Genomic DNA, 15,382 nt, shown 5'->3' on the forward strand with positions numbered 1-15,382 from the left:
GACACATAGAACAATGAGACAGAATAAAACCCCTGAAATAAAGATATACACCTAAAACCAACCAGTCTTCTACAAAGTTGACAAAAATAAACTATGGTGAAAAAATACCCTATTCAATAAATGTTGTAGGGAAAACTGGCTAGCCATATGCAGAAGAATGAAACTGAACCCCCACCTTTTGCCACATACAAAAATTAACTCAAGATGGATTAAAGACTTAAGTGTAAGATCTCAAACTATAAAAGTCCTAGAAGTAAACCTGGGAAAATACTTTTCTGGACACTGGCCTAGGCAAAGAAATTATGACTAACCCTCAAAAGCAAATGCAGTAAAAACAAAAATTGACAATTGGGACCAAATGAAACTACAACGCTGCTGCATATCAAAAGGAACTATTAACAGTGTAAATAGACAACCTATAGAATGGAAAAAAAATGTTTGCGAACTATGCATCCAACAACTAATATTCAGAATCTATAAGAAACTTAACAAGAAAACACAAATGACCTCATTAAAAAGTCGGCAAAGGACATGAATAAACGCTTCTCAAAAGAAGACATACAAGTGGCCAAAAACATATGTAAAATGTTCAACATACTAATCATCAGAGAAATGCAAATCAAAACCACAAAGAGATATACCCCCTTATACCAGGCAGAATGGCTATTATTAAAAAGTTAGGAAATAACAGATGTTGGCAAGATTGATGAGAAAACGGAATGCTTATACACTGTTGGTGGGAATGCAAATTAGTTCAGCCACTGTGGAAAGCAGTTTGAAAATAGCTGAAAGAATTAAATATGGAATTATCATTTGACGGGCAATCCTATTACTTGGTATATTCCCAAAGGAAAACATATTGTTCTACCAAAAAGATACCTGTACTTGTATGTTTATTGCAGCACTATTCATAATAGCAAAGACATGGAATCAACCCAGGTGCCCATCAGTGATGGATTGGTTAAAGAACATGTGGTACTTATATACCATGGAATGCTACACAGCCATAAAGAAGAATGAAATCATGTCCTTTGCAGCAACATGGATGCAGCTAGAGGCCATTATCCCAAGTGAATTAACACAGAAACAGAAAACCAAATACTACTGCATGTTCTCATTTATAAATGGGAGCTAAACATTGGGTACATATGGACACTGGAGAACAATAAACACTGGGGATTTCAATATTGGGGAAGCAGTGGAGGACAGATTGAAAAACTGCCTGTTGGGTACAATGTTCACTCTTCGGTCGATGGGATCATTTGAAGCCCCAACCTCAGCATCATGAGATACACCCATGTAACAAACCTGCACACGTACCCCAAGAATCTAATCTAAAATTTAAAAAAGGAATTATATTTAACATGTGTATTTAGAACCCTAACATATAATATACATAAAAGTGGTACTTTGTAGTTTAAATGTATTTTATCATTTTAATTGTGAAAGATTTTTCTGTTATAAATGGGATCAGTGGAAATAATAAAGCTCTTCTGATAAGGTGAAAATTTGCAACCAAAAAAAGAGATAAAAGATAATGTTTCTTGTATTGTTACAATTTCTGCTGATAAATTTTGAATCTGTGTTTTCCTGTATGTGACATGTCATTTTCTTTTGACTGCTTTCAAGAATTTCCTTTAACTCTAGTTATTAGTAGTTTGACTATGATGGGCCTAGGTATGGTTTCTTTGCCCATATCCTGCTTGGCTTTTACTGAGCTTCCTGAATATGAAAATTTATGGTTTTAAAATCTAATTTAAGCAGTCTTGGGGCACTGTTGCTTCAATAAGTTGTATACCTCATCCTGACTTACCACTCTTTCTTGAATTGTATTCATGTCTGTCGGACATTTAATATTGCCCTCAGGTCCTTGAACTGTTCACTTTAAAAAATCTTTTTTTCTCATGTTCTATATAGATTTGTCTTCAAGTTGCTGACTCTTTTCTCCATCACTTCCACTCTGTTATTAAACCAATACAATAAACTTTTTTTTTTTTTTTGAGACTGGGTTTTACTCTGTTGTCCAGGCTGGAGTGTAGTAGCAGGATCGAAGCTCACTGTAGCCTGTACCTTCTGGGCTCAAGGGATCCTCATGCCTCAGCCTCCATAGTAGCTGGGACTACAGGTACATGCCACCATGCCTGGCTAATGTTTTAACATTTTTTGTAGAGATGAGGTCTCACCATCTTGCATAGGTTGGTCTCAAACTCCTGGACTCAAGAGATCCTCCCTTCTTGGAAAGTGCTGGGATTATAGGCATGAGCCACCTTGCCTGGCCCAATTAAGTTATTTATTTATTTTTTGAGATGGGAGTCTTGTTTTGTCATCCAGGCTGGAATGCAGTGGTGTGATCTTGGCTCACTGCGACCTCTGCCTCCCAGGTTCAAGCAATTCTCCTGCCTCGGCCTCCAGAGTAGCTGGGACTACAGGTGTCTGCCACCATGCCCAGCTAATTTTGTATTTTTAGTAGAGATGGGGTTTTGCCATGTTGGACAGGCTGGTCTCTAACCCCTGACCTCAAGTGATCCACCTGCTTTGGCCTCGCAAAGTACTGGGATTACAGGGGTCAACCACCATATCCCACCCCAATAAACTTTTGATTCCAGAAATTGTGTTTTGGTTTTAGAATTTCCATTTGGTATTTTTTATTATTTATATTTCTCTGTTGAAATTTTCTATAATTTTGAGCATGTATTCCTTTGCTTTCTTGAGCATAATTATAACAGCTGTTTTAAAATTCTTGTCTGCTAATTACAACATTCAGATCGTCTCACCAATGGTCTTGGTTGGTTGTATTGTAAGAATGAGTTATGTATTTCTTCTTGTATGTTGATTAATTCTAGATTTTCTTCTAGGTATTGGGAAAATTATTTTGTAGAAACTCTCAAGTCTGCTATATTTCTATTAGGAGAGTTTTATAAGACAATTTACTTGCTTGGACTCAAAACTCTTTTTTTGGTAGTAGTTCAAATCATATTTCAATTGTTTTAGTGTAGTTGCCCTGCTGTGAATCTGTTTCCTGCCTGCATTCATCAGGCAGCTGAGATTTTGCAGAGACTCAGTATATAACATGGTGCTCTCACTCTCTCATTCTCTTCCTGAGATGTGACCCCTCTCTTTGTAGTACCTATGATTGTTATGAATTCTGTATTGTTTTTTGTCTGGCCAGAAATATGTCAGAAATGTGTGTCTTTTTATGTCAAAGTTTAGTCACTTCACCTGGCATCACCTTTATGCTGGTCTCATTAAAAGTCATAAAAATTGTAAACACGTCCTGTCTGGTGCTGGTTTTTTCTTCCAATTTTTTGTCTTCCCTCCAGAATTTGCCTGCTTGTTTACACTCTCCAGTGCCTTCAGGTCTTTATTTTGCTCACAGTTAATAGCTGATATCTGCAGGAAGATCAGGCTTCATAGAGGGGGGTGGAGTTGGCGGGACTTCCTGGGACGGTTCAGGGACTTTTGCAAAAGACCCCTGTGACTCAGGGTTTTGAGTTCTTAACCAACTGAGTGAAGGATTCAAAATTAACCACGCCAAGGGAGGATTGAAAAAAGAACCACTCTCAGTGGACAAAAAGAAAGAAAGGGGAGGGGGTAACACAGGGATATAAGCCCTAGCCACTCGAGCCAGCAACAGTAACCCTTCCGGGTCCCCTTCCACCACGTGGAAGCTTTCCTTTCGCTTTGTTCAATAAACTGTGAGGCTGCTCACTCCTCACTTTCCTGGTCCGTGGACTCTGTCGTCCAGGCTGGAATGCAGTGGCGCAATCTCGGCTCACTGCAAGCTCCGCCTCTCGGGTTCACGCCATTCTCCTGCCTCAGCCTCCCGAGTAGCTGGGACTACAGGTGCCCACCACCACGCCTGGCTAATTTTTGTGTGTGTGTTTTTTTTAGTAGAGACAGGGTTTCACCGTGTTAACCAGGATGGTCTCGATCTTCTGACCTTGTGATCCATGGACTCTTTTTGAGCTGTAACACGCCCCGTGAAGGTCCCCAGATTCATTCTTCGAAGTTAGGGAGACCATCAACCTAAAGGCAGGAAACAGTCCTGACTCAATAGGAGCTTACTTAGCTGTATTGGGTATGAGTACTAGTTTTATTTTGATAAAAGTATGGTAATCATGATCCTTTCAGAGTTTAGGGCATTTAAAATCTTAATCTAGCTGTGGGTACACTGCAGGTATACAATAAATGTTTATTGAATGGGTAAATGAATTAAGCAACTTGTCTAATTACTTTTTCACAGAAATAGAAGGTGGTTTGACCTAATTAGATGAATTGACTGACTTTTGCTATCCTGGTGACTCAGTTTACAGGCTTGCAGAGGGCAAATGGTGATTTCTATGTTTGCCTGCATAGTTTTTGCTTGGTAGACTCTTGCCTCACTTAAACTATTTCTTGTGAATGCCGGACATGGTTTCTTAGCAGCAGAAATCAATAAACTAGAAAGAAATATACCCTGAGTTTTGGAACAATAAGATAAACACTCTTTGTTTGTCACTGTTCCAAAGAAACAGACTTCAATTATGAAGCAGGTCACTTGGGTAAATAAGATTGCTTTAGCTTCTAGTAAAATAATCGAACAAGTGCTTTGTAGAAAAAAAAAACCCACTCTCATTTAAGTGTTGTAACGGACATGAAATATGAACAACAAACTGTCTATAATTATGAGAAACTAATTTGATGGTTTTTTCCAAAAATAATTCAATTACTGAAGTCATAGTGAAAAGAAATAGAACAGATGTTTGATCCAATGTCTCATAAAATATTTTACTTAGCTACATACAAATGAATTAAAATTGATTTTATGGATGCCAATTCAGGAGCAGAAATGCTATACAATAGAACCTCAAATTACTCAGGAGATTTATTTTGGAACAATACTGTGTAATTTGGAATGGAGAAAGTTTATGGAAAATTGGAGAAAGGGATTAGTGACAAAGAATTGAAAACCATATGTTGCTTATGGGGATATTTAAAATTTAGGAATTTAATGTTTTAAAAATATTTACTCAATAGAGTATTTACTCAGTATGGTATATGACTTAATGAACATGGGTAGAGACAGAGACCAAAGAAGAGGTATGGGAGCTATAGTGGTTTAAAAATATATCCAAAAATTATGTGATAGTCTTGCTTATCAAAAGATAAAGTCTGCTAGGCTGGAGAGCAGTGGTGCAATTTCGGCTCACTGCAGCCTCTGCCTCCCAGGTTCAAGTGATTTTCCCACCTCAGCCTCCCGAGTAGTTGGGACTACAGGTGTGCACCACCACGGCCAGCTAATTTTTTTGTATTTGTAGTAGAGGCAGGGTTTCCAACTCCTGACCTCAGATGATCCGCCTGCCTTGGCTTCCCAAAGTGCTGGGATTACAGGCGTGAGCCACCTCACCCAGCCTCAAAAGATAACACCTGCCTCCCTGAATGTGAATGGACTTTGTGACTCACTTCTAAATAAGAAAATGTGGCAGAAATCACAAGCCATTTGTGAGTCCAGGTCCTAAGAGACATTGCTGCCTCTGCCTGCTCTTGCTTGGATTCCCTCCCCTGAGGGAAGCTGGCCGCTATGACATCAGGACACTGAAGAAACCCTACAGGGAGGTCGGTGAGTGAGGAGGTGAAGCCTCCTGTGACAGCTGGCTCCAACCGACTAGCCATGTGAATGGGCCTGCGTCAATTCACATCTTCAGAGGACTTTGGATGACTGCGGTCCTGGCTGGTGACCTGACTAAAGCCTCAGGAGAGACCTTGGGCTAGAACCACCCAGCTCAGATACTCTCAAATTCCTGACCCACAAAAACTGTGAGATTATAAAGGCATATTACTGTTTTCAACAACCAAGTTTTGAGGTAATTTTGTGTGTGCGTGCGTGTGTGTGTGTGTGTGTGTGTGTGTGTGTGTGTGTTTTTGAGACAGGATCCTGCTCTGTCACCCAGGCTGGAGTGCAGTGACCTGATCTTGGCTCACTGCAGCCTGCCCCTCCTGAGCTCAAGTGATCCTCCCACCTCACCTCCTGAGTAGCTGGGACTACAGACATACGCCACCACATCCGACTAATTTTTAAAATTTCCTTATAGTGTCTTTTTGTAGTGATGTGGGTCTCCTTATGTTGCCCAGGCTGGTCTTGAACTCCTGGGTGCAAGCTATCCTCCTGCCTTAGCCTCCCAGAGGTTGGGATTACAGGTGTGAGCCACCACACCCAGCCCAAGGTAACTTCTTATGTAATAACAGGAGGTCACAAAATTCTAGTTATGCTGAATTTGAATTTTTACTTAGAAGTGACATGGGAGCTTACCTAACATTAGTTATGTTTAATTAGGTTTTTTGGCGACCTGTTTTTAGGGTTGGAGACCAGTTTCATCAAATCAGGGTAGAGATTCTCCTGGTAGCGCTCTGGCACAGAGATTTGTGTGAGTGTATGAGTGCCAGTGGAGTTGGGGGCAGTGCTGGTAAACTTGGGAGAACTGAAGTGAGGCAGAAATCAGGTATGATTTTGAAGGTTTTTATCTAAAATATTCCTATCAATTTGAAATTTTCTGACTTGAGTTGTCATTAAAAAAGCAAATACATTTGGGAGGGTAAAATTCATCAGTCATTTGCACCTCACTGCAGATAATTTGAACAGATAATGACTTTGCCCAACATGTGGCTAAAATATGGTGGAATGGGACTCCTGGGGAAGACAGGCTCGGAACAGGCAAGGGGGGATGGGTGCCTGGGAAGGGCCTTGCAGTTGATTCGGGGACCCAGACAGCAAGTTGAACATGAAGGGAACTGAGAACTCAGGGACTTTATTCCAAAAGACATGTAAAAAGAGAATAGGAGAAGAGAACAGATTTAAAAAAAATGCAACCATTGAAGTACAGGGGAGAAAAGAAAGAAAAAATGTTTGAAGCTAAAGATCATCATCTCCTATTCTGAAATTTGTAATGGGGCCCTGTCATGGTTATATTTAGAATGCTGCTGAGATTCTTCTTGGTGCCCTTTTTGGCATATTCTCAAATGTGTCAACTCTGATGCTTGCCTTACCATGTGTGTATGAGGAAGAGTTCACTTCAGCTGTGATACCTGGGGCACAGTATGTGAAGTGTGTCCACACGTTGGAGTTGTCACTCTGATGCAGTGAAAGTCCTGGCTGAACCTTGTGTCCTTATGTGCCTCCTCATCTTAGCAATGTATCATATTCTGTCTGGCATGGTAATCATTACTCTATGTTCCTTCTTCCTCCCAGATTGTAGGCAAACTAGTGGTTGGGGCCCTGTCTCATCCAGTTTGGTGCTTCCTGGTGAACGTATGGGTATCATCTTGATATAAATATTTGCAGAATTGTGTTGACTATGGAAAACCACATTTAGTATTTTGTTGTAGCATTGAGCCAATATGGCTTTCTTGAAAGAGCCAGGTTTTAGAACTATCCAGTATTTGTCTAAGGTATACATTTATTAATTTTAATCCTTAATGGGCATGCTTGCCTGAAGTGTACATGAGGTGAGGATGAAGTATTGACTTTGTGGGGCCTAGTTAGGAAAATGAGATAAAATTGGAAGAAGAAAAAGAGGATGGAATAGCCCTTACCATGACATCGCCCCTAGAAAGTAGAATTAGAATAGGTATAAAAGAGAGGAGAGAGAAAGGATATGTGAGAGACAGAGGAGGAAAGTGGAGAAAAAGATGTAGATAAGGAGTGGAAAGTGATAGAAGATGAAATATGTAAATGAAGGACAGGGTAGAGATGTTATCGGGACAGTCAGAATATAAAATCCAGGACTGTCCCAATTAATGGATATGCCATTGATTTTATTTAATGTTGTGTTCCTTTGCTTTTGGTTATAGGGAGTGGAAATGTAAACTACATTTAAAAAATCTTATTTTAAGGATATACACGTACTGAACAAAGAGAGTAAAGTCAAGGAACCAGGTCACTCCAGTGGCCATCACTGGCCAGACCACTCAGATTCCCCAGTCCAAAATCTGAAGGGAGCCAGTCTGACTGGCTTTGCTAATCACGACCCTCTGATTGGACAGAGTTTTGTGGGCTGGGCCAGCTGGTCCTTGCTTGTGTCAATCCCCCATTTGGTGTTCATCCCTGTGCGAAGAAGAGCCTGGGGCGGCTTTCTTGAGTAAGCAAGGGATCATTGTACACGTGAACAGTGCTGTGGCTGAAATGACCAATTTAAACATGAATGATAAGCCGGGGTGTAGGCTCATGCCTGTACTCGTAGCTACTCAGGAGGCTGAGGCAAGAGGATTGCTTGAGCCTAGGAGTTTGAGACAAGCCTGGGCAATATGGTGAGACCTCATTAAAAAAAAAAAAAAACATAAAAAGGAAAAAATATGAATAATAATTTAAAAGGAAAAGAAAATAAAACCCTGAATCATATCTACAGACAACCCACAGGCTTTAAGGAAGATCCAAACCTGTAATATAACAAGGAAGGCATTTGATATACTTGATAAAAAATGTTTTACTCTTTTTGCTTCTCTGTGAGACTCCTTGTATTACTCAATTTGGGCTTCGCTAATGAAATACTGCAGACTAGGGGGCATATGAACAACGTAAATTCATTTTTCACTCTTTTGGATGCTGAGTCTAAGAGCAAGATGCTGGCCGATTTGGTGTCTAGTGAGGCCCCCTTCCTGGTTCATAGATGGTGCCTTCTCACTGTAACCCCACAAGGGGGTGGGGTGAGGGAGCTCTCAGAGGTCTTTTCAGTCATGAGGGCACAGTCTAATTGCTACCAAAGGCCCCACCTCCTATTACAGTATCCCTTACCCAAATGCTTGGGACCAGAAATGTTTCTGATTTTGGAATATTTGCATTATACATATTTACCCATTGAGTACCCCAAATTTGAAAATCAGAAATCTTGAAATGCTCCAATGAGCATTTCCTTTGGGCATCATGTTAGCACTCAAAAATTGCAGATTTTGGAGCATTTCAGATTTCAGATTTTCAGATTTGGGTGGCTTGGCCTGTTCTACCACATTGGGGGGTTAGAATTTCAACCTGTGAATTTTGGGGGAGGCATGCAAACCTTCTGTCTATAGCACCTTTACATTATTTTATAAATTCACCTTTAACTTGTTTCAGATTTTTCTCAGTACTTTAAATCTTACGCCATATGCGCTGGGTGATTTTTCAACTTTTAAATGGGCCCTGTTCTCTTGAAAATAAATGGGAAATAGATTCTTGGAAATAAAACATCAGTCTTTTCTGACTTCTTGGGTGGGTGAGCAGAAACAGACGATTCCATACCTGACATCTGCTTCCTTTAATACCCTCCAGGGTGTTTGCCCTATGTCTCTCAAAACTCAAACCACGTCAAAATCACCTCAAACCACATCAGACTTTTCAGGGCTGGTAAATGCTCCCACAGCATAAATAGTTGTTCCTGTCAAATCGGTTGGACTGTGTCTTAGGGGAAGACAATATTAATGTCTTTTTCTTTACACCTTTACAAGCAAAAATTCACTAAGGCAAGAGGCAAGTCATAGAAACATATTTCTCCGGTGTGCTTTTGTTGTCATGTTACTGGAAATAAATATCTCTGATGCTGTAGTTGCTGGTATAATGAAAATCTAAGTAGATGATGGTGTTTATATTGCAGGTGCTAAGGGCCTCTCACACTGGCACTGGCACTGTGAACTCATTGAGTTTTCTTGTGTTCTTACTAGCTGATAATAGGGTCATTCTTCTCAGGGTCCCAGTGGCTGTAGAGAGCTGTTTGTGGGAAGCCATTATGTGACAGGTTTGAGAAGATCTAGGCAAGGGCAGGCCCCAAAAGATAGAGGACTACAATTTACATTTATTGCCTGCCTTGCCTCAGCTGCCTGGCATGATGTCTCAATCCCAGAAGCTCTTGAAAAGTAAAAGGCAGCCACAGGCAAACAGGGGAAACAGAAACAATCTGTTAAACGCAAAGGTGTTTACTTAGCATCCCAGCCTCAGAAATGCTCACATCCCACTAGGGGGACAGAAGGGAGCTTATGGAAACATATTGTGAGTGGAGCAGACAGAGTGTCATGATTTTCAAAAATCTGCTGTAACCTTCTGGTTCAGTTTTTGTTTCCCTGAGGGCAACGGAGTGAGATTTTGTATTTTTCCTTATTTAGAAATTCACATCCAGATAAAGCATCCCTTGACTCTATGAGTGAATATCTGGAGAGAATGCTTATGTGTCCAGTGTGAGAATGACTTTGGAATCCAAGATATGTTGATTGATGATGGAGAGTATGCTTAGCCAGTATTGAGGCAGTTTATCCAGCTGTTAGAACAGGATTATTTTTTTGATGACATGTGACTCATCCTTTGACATCCGTGAAAGAGAGCGCATAGTGGTTAAAAGCACCGACTTGGGAGCCAGGCTGCCTGGCTTCAATCCCTGCTCTGCCACCTACAAGGTATGTGATCCTGGGCAAGTTATTTAATCTCTTTGTGTCTCAGTTTCCTCATCTTGACAAAAGTCAAGGTTTGTAAATGGCTCAGACTGGCTCTGGTGTCTGGTAAGTGCTGTATAAGCATGTGTTACACACAGACATATGCATATACGCAAATACTTGATGCTATTCTGGCTATGTCATCAGCCAACTTCTGTAGCTACATGCTCAGTCTTTCATCTGTAAAGTAAAGGGGGTGGACTAAACTCCATTCTAGTTGTATGGTCTATGATTCTAGGTCATGGTGTTTGGAATTGGTGGTAAAATTACAAAGAATATTATGGAAATGACAATCAGCAACCATAATGAATCATCTTTAGGAATAGGTGTTGATGATTCAAATATATTTCCATTCTCCCAGTATTTGAAAGTATGGGATGGTATGTGGGTAATCTTGGATTCAGGAGTTTATATCTACATAGGTATCTGCTAGATAAAAAGGAACAGATAAGCTCTCATCAACTATGAGATATTTTTCCATCACAAATGAAAACTTTATGACCCAGACTGTGTAAAGCCTGGCTAACGTTAAGATTAGGAAATATCTATACTTTAATCAGAAGAAAGAAAAAGCCAAAGATTTAAAAATAGCAGGGCGGCTTAGCAACTCTCCAGGCTAAGCTGAGTGTGTAGTTGAGATACAGGTTGTTAAGCAAACTTTCACTGATACCCTCAGGGAAGAAATTGTGAAATAAGGCAACTGAGCAGGGATTTTTCAAAAAGAGTAAGATAAATTTCACAATATCTGGAGAATTTAGTTCTCATAAAATTGAAAAAAATTTAAAATCTCAAGTTGAATGGAAAAAGAGATACAGCTCAAAGGACAAGACTATTTCACTGAAAAAAGAATGATGTACCTTGTAACATAACTTAAATAAATTCTGAGTATCTTTAGGACTCTTAAAATATTTTTTCATTTTCTTTTCCTTTTATTCTTCAGTTGTTATAAGATGTGTGTTTTAAGTATGACCTTAGCTTTGTTAGTTGCTTTGAGCTCTTTACAAAGAAAAGAACATTGCTGAAAAGAGCCATGAATAAATAAGAAGTCAGTATAGATTTGCAAATATTTTCTAAAGGTCTAAGGGTCACTGAAGTATTGGAAAATGGGAAAAGGGAGCAGATTAAAAAAAAAGCATCAACAAAAAGTGAAAACTTTAAGAGAGGATACACAGAGAAGCAGAAAACTTAATTAAATTAAAGTTTACTGAAAGGGTCAAGATGTTATAAGAACCGCATCAACTAGAAAGACCTTTGAGAGAGAAAGAGGCATACCAATAAATAAAAAGCAGAGTTGTGATAAGACTTTAAATGGATAAGGCTGTGAACTTACTGTTCTCTGAACAGGCTGACTTTCAAAGCCTAGGCAAGGTCTTTACTATTACAAAGTCATGAGGACCTTCTTAAAAAGCCTTGAATATTGTATTCAGTTTGAGGCATTTCACTGCCAGGAAAATGAAGGCAAACAGAGATGGGAATTCAGAGTTTAAAACACACACACACACACACACACACACACACACACACACACACACACACCAAAAATATTTCAGGGTCTATGGAGAATTGACTTTTCAAGAGAAAGTATGAATAAAAAGAATAAATAATAGCTTCACTTGCAAAGTCTAAAGAGAGGAAGGTTATCACCTTCCTGTTGTATGCGCCTAAAATTTGACAGTGTGAAATTACGAGGTAACAGATATTCTCATTTAAATCCTGTGAACTTATTTAGTCAATGGTTTGACTCTACCTTTCACTTTAGGTTACAGACATTTATTTATCAATATTTGTTTTTTACATAGGACATTTATAAACCCATACACATGTACATATACACATCCATATAGCCAATAAGTGTCCAATCTTCCTTCCCTTTCCCTGCATTTTCTTTTATTGATGACCTCTGAGTCTACTGTACATTTGTAGCTTCCCTATAAATTTCTCTAAAGAGATGTAAGGACCACACATTTGATTGGCTGAACTTGAGCTTGCCCATCTCAGCTCCAGCTAAAGTGAGCTGTTGTTATTATTCATAGGGGTGTCCAATACAATTGCTTTAAAGGTTCACTTTTGCTCACAGGGGATTATTGAGTGGGGCAGGGTGGGGAGTGAGATATTGCTAGTCATTACAATACTAAGGGAATTCTATATATGCTATCATTTTACTTTAGCTGTGAGAAAGATGAGAAAGTAAAAGAAACTTGAGATCCACTGAAATAAATTATTTAACACAAATGAACAGGTAAGAGGCTCAAAAGATGTGGATTAAATATCGTTGCTGCAGAAATATTACTGTTTTCTCCCATTTCTACCTATTACTTTGTCATTCTCTTCCCTACACGAAATCCAAGTCTTTTACATCATAGGTGCACCAAATAAAAAGGTATTCAATAGACAAATGCTAGTGGTTTTACAGATAGAGTGGTCTAGGGAGGATAGGGTGTTGAGTTTTGAAATGGGAGGATGTTTTTAACCTTATTTAAAATCCTTTCTGGCTGTGTAAGCCATAGATCATGGTGTGCTATGCTTGGGTATCTATGTATGTTCCATCAATGAGAGCGCTGGGCTGAGAAGTTAAGCAAATGTTGTTTTGTGCTGCCAGCTGGGCTTCAAAATATGGCAGTCCCTGTGTTTATTGCCGACTAGTATTTTTCAAGAAAATATAAAAATTGTCATCTTCTCTGTCAGCATGAGACCTCTGAATCATTAAGACTCACCAGCACAGACTGTAACAAAAAGATGTTTTCCTTTGCTATGGATTTAACCATTTTATGGGTAGGTGTTTTCAAAAAACTCTGCATTTAATGCAATAAAGATGACATTTAATGCACAACAGGTATTAGTGGAAGTTATCACAACTAAATCAAGGTGAGATGAATCGTGGAAAGTGGCAGTCACAGTTTGATAACTGGAATTAAACGCAGAAATCCAAGTTAGAGAAGGCAGTAACAGCTCCTACTGACCAGCAGGGGTCACCCAATAACCAGAAAACAGATATGAGGCTTGTCGGTTCTCAGCACTGAAACGCAGGGGAAACACTCCGGTGCGAGGTCTCAGGCTGCCCTGCGGAGACACACACAGAACTCACTCATAATCCTAACTCAAAACCAAAACACAGCAATTCACTTCCCAGAAATGATGTTCTTCACTGGGTAAAGGGAGAAAACCTCAGGGCCAACTCTGGAGCTCTGCTACATGTATGGGAGTGAAGAATAATGGACTCAGTTGGGAGTGGAGGTTGTACCCGATGACATAAATAGAGGAAAGTGGAAGATACCTAAGGGGGAGAAACTCCCTGTTGAGTTCAGATGCTCTTGATCTAACTTCAGAGACCCAGAACAGAGAGGCCAGCCTCCAGTCAGGCTTCCTTTGCCGTCTTCAAGTACAGAACATTAAAACCTGTTCCTGGCCCCTTATATTTCAAACATTTTTGTAAAATGCATTTTTAAAACATCAGAAAAGTTCAGATTACCAGGTTTTCCCCACAATGATTCTTCCATTCTTCTTACAGCTACTCTGTGCTTCCTTTTCTCTTCAATGTCTGCTATAAAGAAACGTGTGCCCTATCGATTCTTTGTCTTTGGATTCCTGAATACATTCCCTGAAAGGACCTTCAGAGGGAAGGATCAGTAATAAAAGTAGCAGCTAACATTCTTGAGAGAGGATGGTGTCATGCTCTGCCCTAAGCTATCAGTGAACACGTGTATGTCTGATAACTTTCAAAAGGGCCTTATGATGTCGACACCTTTTTTTTTTGAGACGGAGTTTTGCTCTCGTTGCCCAGGCTGGAGTGCAGTGGTGAGAACTTGGCTCACTGCAACCTCCACCTCCCGGGTTCAAGCAATTCTCCTGCCTCAGCCTCCTAAGTAGCTGGGATTACAGGCGCCCGCCACCACGCCTGGCTAATTTTTTGTATTTTTAGTAGAGACAGGGTTTCACCGTGTTGGCCAGGAAGGTCTCGAATTCCTGACCTCAGGTGATCCACCTGCCTTGGCCTCCCAAAGTGCTAGGATTCAGGTGTGAGCCACAGTGCTTGGCCGACGTTGACACCATTTCAAGGATGGCGAAATGGAGGTTCACAGGCTGATGCAAATTCCTAATTCCCCTGCTGTTTGACTGTAAATCTCAGGTCAAAGAGGACAAAGAAACATTAAAATTCAACCATTTCGACTACCTGCCTGATGCTCGAATACTTTCTATGGCATCTCTGTTAGCTGGTCATATGTTGTTATAGTTATACATTGCTGAGATGGGGACTCATAAGTCTTCTTCATTTGAACAGCTCTGGCTGTAAGAGGGCTCTGCCTTATAGTCAGATGGAAGAAAGCATCTAATAACTAGTCTTTTTACTGACTGGAGCATATTCTCCTCCTACTGGGTCAATGCAAGAAGACTGATTTCCCTTCAGGGTAGTCCTTCATACATTTGAAGGGAGTTACTCTGAATCTCTCAGGTTTTCTCTTTATTAAATGCACTAAGATCCCCCAGAGATCTTTATTATATTGTTTAAGTATGATATCATTTTCAATCTTTCCTACATCTGAATGAATTACATTGGTTCATGTTCTTCTGAACATGTGGTTCCCAGAGCAGGGTGAGGCTAGTGTGCCGAGGGGTCTGTCATCTCTTTTTTTCAAGATATTATGCTTTGATTGATGCCTGTTTTCTAAGAAACACACAAATTTCTTATTTTGTTTCTACTTGTGTATTTTCTTCTCATTTCCCAGAAATGATATTTTTTTTTGCTGGGTTCTTAGATAAAAAATGCACAACTATATAATGAAAATTAATTTAGTGACAGCTAACAAAAGGCAAAGACATTTTTGTAAACATTAGTTTCAGTGGTAGATAATGGCAGGATTCAACCTCTCAAAACATTAATTGACTTTCCTTATAACATCATGTGCCAATGGTGCTTTACAAATCATGGTGAACACATTTTGCTGGGTTGAAA

At 39.8% G+C, this 15,382-nt stretch overlaps 1 annotated feature.

Moving 5' to 3' along the window:
- Positions 13,459–13,538: a silencer, noted in NCBI's record as "silent region_15778". NCBI's record gives its function as "represses an Ori minimal core promoter by ATAC-STARR-seq in GM12878 lymphoblastoid cells {active_cell/tissue: GM12878}" and the evidence as "EXISTENCE:reporter gene assay evidence [ECO:0000049][PMID:35858748]".

The sequence above is a fragment of the Homo sapiens genome, chromosome 4 (genome assembly GCF_000001405.40).
Source record: "Homo sapiens chromosome 4, GRCh38.p14 Primary Assembly".
In the NCBI taxonomy this organism is placed as follows: Eukaryota; Metazoa; Chordata; class Mammalia; order Primates; family Hominidae; genus Homo; species Homo sapiens.